Source organism: Homo sapiens, chromosome 3 (assembly GCF_000001405.40).
Source record: "Homo sapiens chromosome 3, GRCh38.p14 Primary Assembly".
NCBI classification, from domain to species: domain Eukaryota; kingdom Metazoa; phylum Chordata; class Mammalia; order Primates; family Hominidae; genus Homo; species Homo sapiens.
In genome coordinates, this window is record NC_000003.12 from 141,376,839 (window position 1) to 141,390,607 (window position 13,769).

Below are 13,769 nucleotides of genomic sequence, written 5' to 3' on the forward strand. Positions count from 1 at the left end.
TGGGTGGTCACAGAGTACAAAGTTCAAGGGCAAAGATTGTTCAGTGGGTCCCAAGATTTGACAAGTGCTACTGGTGGTCCCACCCTTGCCTCTCTACATTGATTCCATGTCCCACTTCCTCTCACACTATGCTGATAACGATCTAACCTGAGAAATTAAAAGTATTCACACAGCCTCTGGCCAAAGCTACAGGAAGACCCTGGCCCAGGCAAACTCTGTTCCTGCCCCACAGCTGTCATTTCACCTGCCCTACCCCATGGGAGCATGTACCACTGGTATCAAGTCTTCCTGCTGGGCCAAGAGGCACTGCCTCAAAGAGGCCCAGCATCCCCAGATAGCAATGTCCCACCACTGCAGTCAGGAGCAACTGGGCAAACCCAAAGACTCAGCCCCCCCATCCAGAAAGACCATCCCATTTTCCATCGCCTAAGTGCCAGACAGCCCAAACTGCTGTGTAGACAGCTACCAGGAAAACTGGAGCAATGAGAGACATCTGAGGTCACCCCAGCTAAGCTCAGAAGGCCACAGAGCTTAACTGCCTTCTTGACTGTGGCCCATCAAAAGGAGCCCGACACATCTAGTAGATGGCTTAAATAAAAAATACTGAGGTTACCAAATGCTGGCAAACATGTGGGGACACTGGATCTCTCCTACATTGCCTGTAGGAATGTAAAATGGTACAGCCACTCTAGGAAACTGTTTGGCAGTTTCTTATAAAAGTTAAACATATACTTACCACGTGATCCAGCAATCCTACTCATGGGTATTTACACAAGAGAAATGAAAACTTATGTTCACGCAATAAACTTTACATGAACATTTATAGCAGCTTTATTTGTAATACCTAAAAACTGGAAAATAGCCAAATGTTTTTCAGCAAGTTAGTGGGTAACACACTGGTACATCCACACCTTGAAATACTATTCAGCAATAAAAAGGCATGTGCTCTTTACATACAATTCAAATGGATCACAAGGGCATTATGCTGAAAGCCAATCTCAAAGAGTTATATGCTACATGATTCCATTTAGAGAACGTTCTTGGACTGACAAAATCACAGTGATAGGCCATGCACGGTGGCTCATGCTTGTAATCCCAGCACTTTGGGAGGCTGAGGCAGGAGTGCCCAGGAGTTCGAGACCAGCCAGGGTAACACAGGGAGACCCGCATCTCTACAAAAATTTACAAAACTAGCGGGATATGTGGGCGTGCACCTGTGGTCTCAGCTACTTGAGAGGCTGAGATGGGAAGACTGCTTGAGCCCAGGAGTTTGAGGCTGCAGTAAGCCATGATTTTGCCATTGCACCCCCAGCCTGGGTGACAGAGCGAGACCCTGTCTCAACAAGCAAAAAAAAAAAAAAATTACAGTGATAGAGAACAGATCAGTGGTTGTCAGGATGGGTGTGATTATCAGAGGAGGAGCACAGGGAACTGTGGTGGTGACTATTCTCTATTCTGATGGTGATGGTCATCACTCCAGCCTGCACATGTGATACGTTGCATAGAACTGTAGACATACAGGTACACACACACACACACAGAGTGCATGTAAAAACTGGTAAAATCACATAAGACTGTATCTGCGTTTATTTGAACTATACCAGCATCTGTTTCTTGGTTTAGCCCAAGTACTACAGCGATGTAAGACAACACTGGGGGAAGGTGGAGAAAGTAGACACTGTATAACTTCTTGTACGTCTTATGCTATTTCACAAAAAAGGTATTAAAACTTTTTAAAAGTTGTTAAAACTATGTTTAAAACAGGGTTCTCCCACCTTGAGGAGGGGGATTTATCCCCTGGCTTCCCCTTTATGAGCAACTCCTACTATTTATTTTGCCGCCTTCTAACTTGTGGTTTGAAGTCTACAATGTCCTGCTGGCTTTGGCCGCACCCTCTGCTTCTCAGAGACTGACAGCCCATCTCGGATGGAATCAAAGCTCAAGTATGCCAGCAATGAATGTGAATGTGCCCCATTTACCCCTCCCTGAGACCATAACTTCAAAGCTAGGTAGATTCAGATCTAAGAAATGGTCTCATGGTGAAAATCAAGGACAAATCATCCTTCTCGCCCCTGTGCAGTAATTTCTTTTCTGGAATGGCTCTTTGCTCTGCTCTTCATACAGATTACACTCTTCACCTTCACCAAATGGGCCCTCCTTTAATGGAAGGAGATTAACCCTTCTTTGCCCCCTTTCAATCTCATTCAGCTGAGGGCTTTCTTTTAACAGCGCTGCTGTCTCTGGGCCTTGTGCCACAGCTGAATGCTACAGAGTGAGATGGCTGCCTTCTCTTTGAAGCATTTACGTCCCTGTCAAATACCTTTTTGCCAGACTTGGCCCTGGAAAGACAGTTTTGAAATTAAATTTATTGTGAGCTGCCTGGGTTGGCAGTATGGAATTGCACAAGGCCATGGGCATTTAGGTCAAGAGGGACTTGCTGCACTCACCACCTTGGGAGCCCTATCTTAATGAAACTCGAGCTGTATTTACTCCCAGGTTCTGCAGAGGAGTCCCCAGCATCACCTAAGATGGAGGCTGAGCATATGGGCTGAAGTCTATGCGGCATCCTGTCCGGATGTGACAATACACTCACAATCCACTGCTACCCCAGGACTGGCCTCAGCCTCCAGCTTCCAACTGTGCCTTAGTTATTAGAGGGACTCAACTCAAGAGACCATGATGAGAGGGACAGCGGTGCTCATTTCTCGGGCCTGGCTGTGAGTTGGCAACCAGGATCGTGTGCTAGAAAGGTGACAATTTTAATCGCTGACTTTCCGTAGTCGTTGGTGAATCTCGTAGTTTTGCACCTTTTAGTTTCAAAACCATACTGAACAACGGAAAATGAAACCTGCAGCTTATTTTTAGCCGTTCATGCTAAATCATGAGATTTTTCTTTGCAAACCAAAGAGGATAAAGGCTACTTCAGCAGGCTAAACTTAGTCAATTGACTTAATATAGCAATCAAGTCTGGTTCTCTGACAAGTCTCAAGTGACATTGAGAAGTTTCAGGTGATATTTTGGCCAACATTGACTATTTTGCTTAAAATTATATTTAGTTGAGTTTTGTTTTTAGTTAAACAAATGTAGTATGATATTTTCATCTGAGAGGAATTGGAAAACATATTATAAACCCTCCATTCTGTCATTTAGTCATTAATTCAATTAACCTATAACTATTTTTAAGTATCTGACAGCTTAGAATTTTTTTTAATTGAGTCAGTGTGTTGAATTACAAAGAGCAGAATGCTAGAAATTAAGGAATATGGCTTCTATGCTCATTGATGAGGCATTTATGTAAATATGACACTTACTCTCTTTGAACCTAATTTTCTTCTCCCTCAAAGAAATGGTTTAGATGGCATTTTCTAAAGCGTCTTCCTTGTCCTTTAATTCTGTGAAACACGCTCTGCCACTGAGGGCCTGAGGAAATGTTGAGGTATTCTTTGGGGGCTGTGGCAGTGTTGTCAGGCCACTCTTATTTCTGTCTCCTCTTTCCCTGTTCTAGGAGAGACAGGTTTACACAAAGCACTGTGGTCTGCTTGCCAGACAACTTGTGGCTCCCCTTGGTAAACAAGTGATTAAGTGCTTGAAAGATTTTCATAGAGATTTTCAGCCCCCAAGCCCATTCCTTAACTCCTGAAGCAAGTACTTTAACTTTAGGAAGTGGCTTCATGATACAAAGCTGAGGATCCCACTGGTAGTGGTAGAGAAAGGACTCCGGAGTTTGATGTTGGTGAGTCCAAAACATCCTCAGTGAGCCTCTCCATGGTGTTAGGAAATGCTCTAGTGCCCTGGAAGATACAAAGATCTTGCAGGAAGCAAGCCAGAGACGTGGGCTTAGGTAGATAATTCAATACAACCAAAATGCATTGTGTTTTTTTCTTTAGTCGAAAGGAGTTAAAGACTCACTGAGGTTTGTTAAGCTTCTCTGACTGAGAAGAGGTGCATTGTTGTGGCCCTTTCTGAGCTGCAATGTCATGTATCTGAGAGAAGAGAAAGCAAGTAAATTTATTCCCAGGTTTAAGTCTTGAAATATTTGTTGCCCAGGGTGTGAAGAAAGATATAAAGAGAAGATTATGCTCTCACATGAGGTGGATTTTTATGGATCTGTAAGAATTCTTACTTTTTTACCTTCATTTATATCCCCACCTTCCCTTTTCAGCCTAGTTGCCAGTCTCTCCAAAAAGATGAAACTCTACTTCCTTGCTGAATGTGTTTTGCCAATTCAGAATCTAGAAGGCCCTGTTGTTTCACTTGCTCTCCATCTGGTGCGTGACAAGCAGTCATGGCAGAAAATGAGCATGTGATTGGGTAGTAGGAATGGGCACTCAAGGTCATTACTCATGCCATGTTTCAAATGCACTGATGCACTGAGAAATGAAAGCAGCAACTATTCAGTTGCTAAAGCCGAGGTAGTGATTTCCATAATGGTGGTGACACCTGTTGAGGATGCTCCCACCAGAGGATTTGAGTTGGGTTAGGATGGGTTGAGATGTTGTCTACCACAGTCTGCCTTGCAGCCTATGTCATTTGCCACTTTTCCTTTGTTAAAAAACACATGGTTTACAGTTCCCTTTTCCTTCCAGCTCTTTCCTGGAGAGTAACCCCAGTTTGGTCCACAAGGCTTGCTGCCCAATCTTTGCCAACAGGTATGTACTCCTTTCTCATGTCCTACACAGATGCTAATGGATGGACGTGAGGATGCTCATGTCTAAGAACTGGAGAAGGTTTCCTGGAGTTCAGAATCCTCAAGCATATCATTCACCCAACCCTTCATTCTACTACCTATGAGCGTTGAGCAAGATAGTCTTCCTCTCCTATTCCCAGGTAGGGTGGAGCTGGTGGATTAGAAAGCCCCCTTTGAGAGCCATCTTGTTGGCATATACAATTACTGCAAATGAAGCAGGATAGTCAGCTGGCCACCTACACCAGAAGACAGGAGACTTGGAGTCCAGCTCTTGGCCTACTTGACCTAGAAAACAAGCTGGGCTTGATTTTTTAGAATCACAAACTTTTAGAACTGGAAGGGACCTGAGACAGAGGCAAAATGAACAGATGTTAACAAACAGAGTCATTAAAATGATTTTAGTGTTTAAATCATTTTAATGATAAAATAAAGCAGTAAATTTGGTTGAGGAAAATCTCTTACTTCAAAATTAGGCTTTTTAAAATTCCATTTAAAAATATGTTGGAAAAAAATCATAATAGCTACTTAGGTTATCTGTTCAGGAGAAAAATACTATTTGTGAGTTGAAAGTAGGTCAGTTTTAGCCGGGCACAGTGTTATGAGCCTATAATCCTAGCTACTCAGGAGGCTGAGGCGGGAGAATCGACTGAGAGTTCAAGTCCCACCTGGGCAACATAGCGAGACTCTGTCTCAAGAGAACCCAAAACCAAACAAACAAAAGAGAACAGGCTACTCTGATTGTTACACTGATTTTTCTTTAACTGATCATTTAGAGTAGAACACTCTAACAACCTGATAACAAATTTATTCACAAATGCTGAATACATTGGGTGTAAAAGGAAACTAGCTATAATTTTTAATATAGTGAAAGGCTGCATTAATAATAAACTCACTTATGAAGTGTGTGATCTTGGGCAAATCGTTGTATCTCTCTCGGCCTGTTTGGTCACCTGTGAGAGGGAAAAAACTAGACTCCACTAGGTTTTAATAAATACATTTCAAGTGGAAATGTATTTATTAAAATAAACATTCCATCTGAAATATATTTATGTCATTTATTTTCATTTATTTTGCCTCATAAAATATTTTTTGAATTATGGCAAATCTCCCACTAAAATATTTACTCTGCTTTCTACACTTAACTTTCCAACATGGTCCATCTGATTCCTCCTCTTTCATTGTGTCTTTTCCACCTGCTGGGCCCAGCCTGTCTCCAGCTGGTGGCATCCTAGGTTCCCACAGTTCCCAGGGCCTGGAGGGTAGAGGCTGATTCATATGAACAGAGGTAGTCAGGGCTCCAAGGAGATAGAGTCCTCTACCAGGTGTCTGCACAATAATAAGATTACTGACATCAGGGATGGAGTGTGGACGTAGGAGGAAGTTTTATCCTCTTAGGACTGGTGGAAAGACGTAGACTTTGCAATCAATCAAACTTAGGTTTGAATCCTAAGTCTGCTATTTACTGTGTGTAATCTCTATTAGTTCCTCACCTAAAATTGAAGGTACTCAGTTTGCAGGATTATTGGGTTAGAATGAAATAAACATTGGACGTGTAGCTAAAATATTGAGTATGTAGTAGGTTCTCCATAAGGGCAGCTAGTGTAGACTTTTTAGCTCTGATCAATGTGGAAGGCAGAAGTTCCTGCCCAGGTCTCTAGGCAAGATGTAGATGTTCAAAGTAGCTTTGAACTTTCTCAAAAATCCAAAGGCATTTTTGGTCATTTGTAAATTAAATCACCATGTTGTTTCCAGGACTAAATACGCTATAGACAGATGTAATAACCAACCTCATTAAAAAATCTTAAACTTTTTAAATATTAAGAATTTAAACAAAAGTGTATTTGGTAAACACTTTTATTTTTCTTTTAATTTCAATTGGAATAGCCTAACCTGACAACAATGTACCCACAAATGTTGACTACCTCTATTAGGTGTAAAAAGAACCCAGCTGTAATGTTTAATGTGGTGAATGGCATAAAGGAACATGCAAACTGATCCAAATGTTTATAAACCAAGTATTCCTCTGGGACTCAGTGCCCTGACTTTATGTTTTTTAAAACATAGAGAGTCAAGCTTTGTTCATACTTGAATTATGTACATTGCATTAGCCGTGCAATTTAACTTTAACCCACAGGACTGCAAAGAAAATTAGCTCAGCCTGCAGAACAACGAGACCACGAGCAAGTAAGCACGTTAATCAAAGTGAAAGGCTCACCCCTCACGTCTAGCTCCGTCCTTCTCCAGCCTGTGCCTGCCAGATTATTTCGGGTTCCTCGTGTTTGACTCGTCAAAGTGGCAGAAACAGGCTAAAATGTTCACTGTGGAAAAGGGATTTGCCTTTTAAATTAATGTTTGTGCACATGCCCCGAGGAGGCTGATGAGAAGCACGCAATTTTTTTAAATCATAAGTGAATGCATACCCTTGCCACTAGTAATCATGACAAAGCTTAAGTAATTCAGGCATGGGCATGGTTTTCTGAAAGTATAAAACAGGATTTACTAGTTGAGAATGTCTGCCTAAACAAGCTCATTGCTTTGAATATTTTCAACTATAGTTCACATTTGTTTAACCCGAGCAGGTCTGGTAAACGTACCACGTTTACTGATTGAGTGTCTTGGAACATCACAAAATAAACCAATACATGGCTTTTAGGCTAGTTTTGACAGAGGGTGGACAGAGAACCCCACAGGGGGTTTGGAAACTGCCCTGGCATCTGGCTTACAAGTACCAGTAGGGGACCTGACCACATTCACCACCCTTCCCTGTAAAGGGAATAGAACACTATTTACTCATCTCCTGGGAGCCTAATATGGATTACTGTTGTTGTCACTGTCATTTATTATTCCCGACAGAGGAGGCAGATGACTTAGTTCTATGTGGTCAGAGTTGATTCCATAACATGTATATTTAGCCTACATGATAATAATTTGCGAGTATTTTTAAATGAATGTCTAGCTTTCAAACGTCATTGATGGGGAATATCTCAACAGACATGAAGAGCATTCAATGCCTAGGTGTTTGCGTCAACCTCCTCCCACCCCACTCTAAGGACTCTGCTTCACAGATGACCGTATATTGAATTGGTGCCTTATAACTCAGCGTGATCATCTCTCTAATTCTCGACCCCCATGGTAAAGGAGGAATTGGCCTAAGGACACTCCATTCTAATTTTCTGACGCTGTCAATGCTAACCAGAGCTCATAGAGCAATGATGTGGGGGTGGGGAAGATGGTTCCACCATTGGTGTGAGACCAGGAGCTACTGTTTTCGTTAGAGCCACATTTATTTCTGGAGTAGTTGTGGGAGAGAGATGTACTCCAAAGAGAAGAGGACTCTTGCTATGGTTCAGGTATGACCCACCATCTGGACAACTCAACTCAGAGACTTTAAAGTGTATAGGATATAGGAGGGCAGGGTACATTCCATACACTAAGCTAAAAATCACTTATGCTCTGGGGCAGGAGATAGCATGAGAGCTAGAAACAAAAGATCCAGTTGTGAAACCTAGTACCTCAGCTAAGGTGTTTGAACATATTTTCTCTTTTAAAAAAATTCTGGGGAGCTTCAATGTGTTGCTAACCTGATTATTTTCAGCCAGTCCTTACAGAAGATTGAGGTGCTGGAAAACTAGCAACCCCAGAAAATATTAATTCATTTTTGCAAGCGTTAAAATTAACAACAGCATATTCAGTGATGCAATAGGCAATTAAAGACTTTTGGAGAGATAAGAAGAAGAAAACTATAAATATTATATATTCAAAATCAGTCTCAGCATTTTATAAAAATGTTGGCTTATGTCCAGGATCTAAGGGTGGGGGTGGGTATGGTTTCTTTGTAGCTATAGAGTGGAAAAGAATCTGTTCTATTTCCTTAAAAATAAAAGACTTCTTGTTTTATACAGCATGGCAAATAAAATGCTTTTTTGTTTTTTTACCTGCCGGCAGGATCTGGAGGAAATTTTGCTAGCAAGCTATGCTGTTTTCCTCTTTGGGGACCTGGTGACACTGGTTTTGCAGCAAAACCGTATTTGCTTATTAGGCATTTCTTAAAAATCCTGAATAAGCAGCTCTTTCAACAGTTTTTGTTCCACATGTTAAACATTTCATTGCAATTCGAGCTTTGAGTGTGTGTGTGTGTGTGTGTGTGTGTGTGTGCGCGTGTGTTGATAGGAAGGAATGAAAGGGGGTGCATAAGAATTCTTGAATGTTTTTTATTTAAAAAATTAATTCCTCACCATTACATATTGAACTATCTGCAGAAGGTGATTCCAATTTATTACATACCACCAAACTAGATCCCATCAATCTTGAGCAGTGGGGGTAGGGAGGTGGTTTTGAAGATGACATGAAATTTGGTGTTTGAGTAGATGAGATTTAATTTTCGGAAAACATTTCACTCATAAAACGGATATCAACCCAGTGTCAGCACTGACCTCCTGATGTCAATGTCATCATGCAAGCATAGCTAAAATAAGCCTCAAAGTAAAACAAAGAAACATTGCATCTCAGCACAACACGATTTCTTCTCTTACAGTATGTACTATCTATAGCCTTTTGGTATTCCTATTAATGGCTTGTTACTTTAAAATTTAGCTTTTGGAGGGGGAGGGAGAAGATAAATCATTTTGCATTTTCTGTGTTCTGAACGCATACAGTATGCTGCTGTAAGTCTTAGTATTATTTAGGTCAGTATCCTAAGGATAGCTTTAATCGTTCATGATGGTCAGCTATACAGCCAGAGGAATTCAGCATCAATTTATTTTTCTGTTCTGATTTTATTCTGCTTCCAAGTTTTAAAAAATCCATTCACATTTTAATAAAATTCTGAGGCGGTATCTGCCGCTCTGTACTGCAGATACATTTAGCAGGATACATTTACACTGCTTGTGGTTAAAGGTTATAGCACGGATACAGACAGCTGATCATGCATTTTTCTACAAGCCTGCCGGCACCATTTAGGATTTTGAAAAATAATCTAGAAATGCTATACCCTTTATCAAAATTATTTTTTACTTTGCAAGAGCTTAACAGTTTTGGTTTTTTCTTAGCAATTCTATAAAATTAACATCTATAAAATGCATCCCGGACCAGATACATACTGTATTGAAAGCTTTCTTCAGGAAGAGAATATGAGAGTGTTCTTTCCAGCTTATTTTCTTCCTTAGCAAAAGGATTGTTTGATTCTCAGAAGCAGAAGGACACATTCATTGTGGAGCAGCTCTGCTTAAGTGTATGAAATGCCTTCTGTCTGGTTGCAGAATTTGGAGTTTACTAAACAGTGTTTAGTGATTGGGCTCATCTTGCATCACCAGTTGATGACATTTTTCTTTGTTCCCTCCTACCCAGTTGAACCAAGACTCTGAGGCTGATATGCAATGTCACTTACAACATTAATCAGATACTGCATTTAAGGTGAGCTGTCCCTTGCCTCCTCCTTCCCCAGTGCTCGTGTGCTGCATGCAGTGCGTATCTTGCTTCTGCGAGCCTAAGATGGCAGGCAGGATTAGCCGTGCTTGTGCTGTGTGTGCATGCTGTGTCTAGAATTCATTACACGTTGCCTAGTATTTCAGATGTGAGTATGTAAATGCTCTGTATGCCATATCATCTGGTAGCGAAGACTTGTTTTTGCCTCATTACAGCCTTAGATATTTCAACATCACCTTTCATTTCCAATTCATTTGCTTCTGGATGTTTGTTTTTCATCACATTCAAAATATGATTTTACCTTTTTTTTTTTAACAAAACCAAAACCCCCCACAAACCCTAAAAACAAAAACAACAACAACAAAACTCTGCTACCAGATGGTGTCTCTCCTTTCTTCGTGCATTTGCTGTCTTTTAAATAATGTATGTTGTATTGTTAATTAATGTGAATATCAAATTAAACACTTGAAACTTACATGTTTATTATGCAGGTAGGAGGCAAGGTGGATTCTATTTTTAACTCTTATGCACTCCATCATGTGCAAGCAACTTGGGTTCTCAAATTTGTATTTTCAATGCTGGTATCAGTGGTTTGATTTTCAGCAAATGTGACAGTGGCCTTTGCAGTGGTCAGCTCCGAGCTTTGAACTCTCAGAGGAGGAAGGGGAAAAAAATTCAACACACCACCTCCTTGGTTGCAGTCTCAGAAAAACCTTGGATGAGAAACTTCTTTTTTCAATCCTGTTTTCCTGTTGATAAATTCAGTTCTGTGATCACAGTTCATTCAAGCTGTTCTGCGTATGATTTTTGTGTGTATGTGACAATTGCATCTAAAACTTGTGAGCAAGAAGACAGAGAAATCAGTTGGTCTCCATCGCTTTACATAAAAATGGCTGAGTGTCTTGTCATGCTAGCACTGCATTAAGTGATGCATACAGGTAGGTTGAAATTTGCATGTTTTTATAGTTTTTTTTGAGCCATGCAGCAAGAACATTAGATGCATTAGAATATGACTTTTAAAAAAACAAAAATTAAATAAGACAGCTGTAATCTTTTGGGGGAGGGTTTTTAATTGGACAGCCTCTGCTATTCAGATAGTATATAAATGTATAGCTTTTACAAACTTAGTAAATGATTCTGCCATAAAAGGGAGATTTTTTTTAAAAAAAAATCATATATATGATAGGTGTGGTGCCATTAGACAACAAAAGAATTTTTTGAAAAGAGTGATGATTCAGCTCCATTTCAGCTTGAAACTAAAAATAAATGGGTTTCTGGAGATGATTTCAAAGAGCGTAAACAAGCTTAATAAGAAACATTAAAAATATTTAAATTTTAAGAAGCGGTCTTTAAACGTGTTTATGAAAGATGAAAATAAAAACTGATATGCTTCCAAAATTAATTTTAGGTAATATACAAGAATACATTATATTATGTATATAATTTGGGGGGATGAGGAGTTACAATTTTTAAAGAGGGAAATATTAAATATAGATGGCCCTCTTAAAAGAAATAGAGCTTCACTAAATGAAACCGAGCCCCTAGAATGGTTCATTGCAGACCATATAGCTGTGGTTCTGGCACTTTTCAAAATAATTTCATGAGCTCTTTCTTTTGAACTTAACTTCTCAAATATATTTTAGTTTCAAATTTAACACTGGGCCAGAACCTGTTTCCTTGGTAACCAAATCGTATTTAAACATGTAATAACAGATATGCAAAAGAATGTCTTTAAAAAGGAAACAAATGTTTAATGAAAAATTTACAGTTCTTTTTCCTCTCATATAGAATCTGAACTGGTTTTAGATGGTTTTTAATGCGGTCTTCAAGCCTTAAAAATTAAGCCATGTTTCTAAACATATAGAGAAAGCTTGCACAGTGACAGCTTTTCTCTCCCTCCTTTGTGCTCAGTACTTTCAAAATTAAGGTTTTCTTTGCAGTATGCTCCAGAATGCAGGTCAAGGTTTGTGTACAGAGGTGTAGTTTCATTATCACAAGTTCACCAGCGCCACTGAAACAAAAGGTATTTCAGAAATTCTGAGAATCAGAAAATGCTTGTACTCTTGCCTTCCCTGATCCCTCCGTTGGTAACCTCAGTGCTGTCGGTAGAAAAGGACCCACATCCAAGCCTACCCCTCCAATGACAAGTGCACCCTGAACCTTTGTGGAAATATCTCTATAGGTGTGTTAGGAAGATGGTGCTAAACCTGAAACCTCCCCGAGGTTTGCTTCAATGTGAAGAACATTGAGATTCAAAACCATCTGTGTAAATGGCTGCTTTATTCTAGCAGTTTAACTAATATTCTATTCCATAGCACTATCGTAGAATTGAACCTCTCTAATGGGCTGAAGGGTGGTGGTGGTTGTTGTCATGTTGTTTTGTGGCCAACTAAAATATTTTGCTTGGAGTCTTTCTCTGGTTCAATTATTTTGGAACGTGATTCATCTCATACTGATTTTGTTCTCCAGGCTTGCCATGAAATACCCTTCCTGCAACACCTTTTTTTTTTTTTTTTTTGGCTGTTGGGAGCCATTTTCCTTCTTGCCTGTGACTTTAAATGACTAAGTACATTTTGAATATAGTATCAATCAGAAGATTGTAAACTGAAGGGAAATATCAGAAACCTGATTCAATATTGCCTATTTTTTTTAGTACCAACAGCATTAACAGTTGCAATAGGATCAAGCTAATTGTCATTCGCTCTTGAGCAAATAATGAGCCAGGCATTTATAATTAAAACACTACTGCTAGTCAGAAAGCTTATAACTACAATGTCTTCTATTTTGATAGGCCAGTACAAAGTAATCATTTTGCACCTATTTGAATCTTAATTACAAGATTAGATGGATGCAATGCAATTGTTTTACCATTAAAATGAATGCCTGATAGATTCAACAGTGTATTTCTTCTTTATAGAATGTCGATTCTTTTGTTTGTGACTCAAGCATGGTTGCGTCATCTTGTAGATTTTCATACTTAATGGCGTTTTTTTGTGGCATTATTCACTTATGTTGCTCTTAGTCTTGCCTAAAAGAATTTTAAACCCAATTCAAGGATCTAGAAAGCCAAATAAGATTGTTGGGAAGTGTATCGTACCATCGTCATTCTAATAAATAAACCAGTGAATAGAATAATAATTACTATATATTACTTCGTTGTGTTTCACCTTAATACTTTGCCTTCATATTTCACAGCAATCTTGACAAGGCACAAAGCTTTCCTAAACTTACCCATTTACAATTATTATTGAATTTCCAAGATTAGCTGAAAATGCTTCTTGATGATTGTAGAGGATGGCACTTACCCCATCTCATTGTTTGAAAAGCTATCCTGAACCCATTTACACTTTTTGGCTCCGGTATTTTTACTGGGCAGGCCAGAGCAGGTGTGACAGCAAGACTGTGCAAACAATTGCACTGTTCTCACCAAAACAAAATGGGCAAATATGTGGTTTTCTGTTGGAATGATTTATAATATAAAATACTATAATATTTATAATACTATAATACCAAGATTGCATCTCTTGCCATAATACTAGAGTGGTATTGATCTACCCCATCCATTTCCATGGATCCCCCGGAGATGGACTGGGAATCAGACTATGACTTAGAGCCTCTTCACTGTTATGTGAGAAGAATCTAGAAAGAGATCTAGCAC

The 13,769-nt window shown here is 39.6% G+C and overlaps 1 protein-coding gene across 93 annotated transcripts in view, besides 4 other annotated features; it reads left to right on the forward strand.

Moving 5' to 3' along the window:
- The window catches only part of ZBTB38 (zinc finger and BTB domain containing 38), a 125,607-nt gene that overhangs the window by 52,653 nt on the left and 59,185 nt on the right, over positions 1–13,769 (forward strand). For 33 of the 93 annotated variants that reach the window (XM_047447856.1, XM_047447857.1, NM_001080412.3 and 30 more), the window contains 2 exons: positions 4,587–4,649; positions 10,034–10,099. The exons of 1 other annotated variant lie outside the window; for it this stretch is intronic. The gene's annotated coding sequence lies outside the window, so the exon portion shown is untranslated. Of the gene's footprint in view, positions 1–4,586; positions 4,650–6,821; positions 6,872–7,966; positions 8,038–9,180; positions 9,221–9,586; positions 9,918–10,031; positions 10,100–10,602; positions 11,050–13,769 lie in introns of those variants that run through there. 59 more of the 93 variants (NM_001387970.1, NM_001376125.1, XM_047447869.1 and 56 more) reach the window with 15 other exon arrangements.
- Positions 2,580–2,729: an enhancer, noted in NCBI's record as "active region_20628". NCBI's record gives its function as "activates an Ori minimal core promoter by ATAC-STARR-seq in GM12878 lymphoblastoid cells {active_cell/tissue: GM12878}" and the evidence as "EXISTENCE:reporter gene assay evidence [ECO:0000049][PMID:35858748]".
- Positions 2,760–2,849: an enhancer, noted in NCBI's record as "active region_20629". NCBI's record gives its function as "activates an Ori minimal core promoter by ATAC-STARR-seq in GM12878 lymphoblastoid cells {active_cell/tissue: GM12878}" and the evidence as "EXISTENCE:reporter gene assay evidence [ECO:0000049][PMID:35858748]".
- Positions 2,980–3,029: a silencer, noted in NCBI's record as "silent region_14774". NCBI's record gives its function as "represses an Ori minimal core promoter by ATAC-STARR-seq in GM12878 lymphoblastoid cells {active_cell/tissue: GM12878}" and the evidence as "EXISTENCE:reporter gene assay evidence [ECO:0000049][PMID:35858748]".
- Positions 10,718–10,947: an enhancer, noted in NCBI's record as "active region_20630". NCBI's record gives its function as "activates an Ori minimal core promoter by ATAC-STARR-seq in GM12878 lymphoblastoid cells {active_cell/tissue: GM12878}" and the evidence as "EXISTENCE:reporter gene assay evidence [ECO:0000049][PMID:35858748]".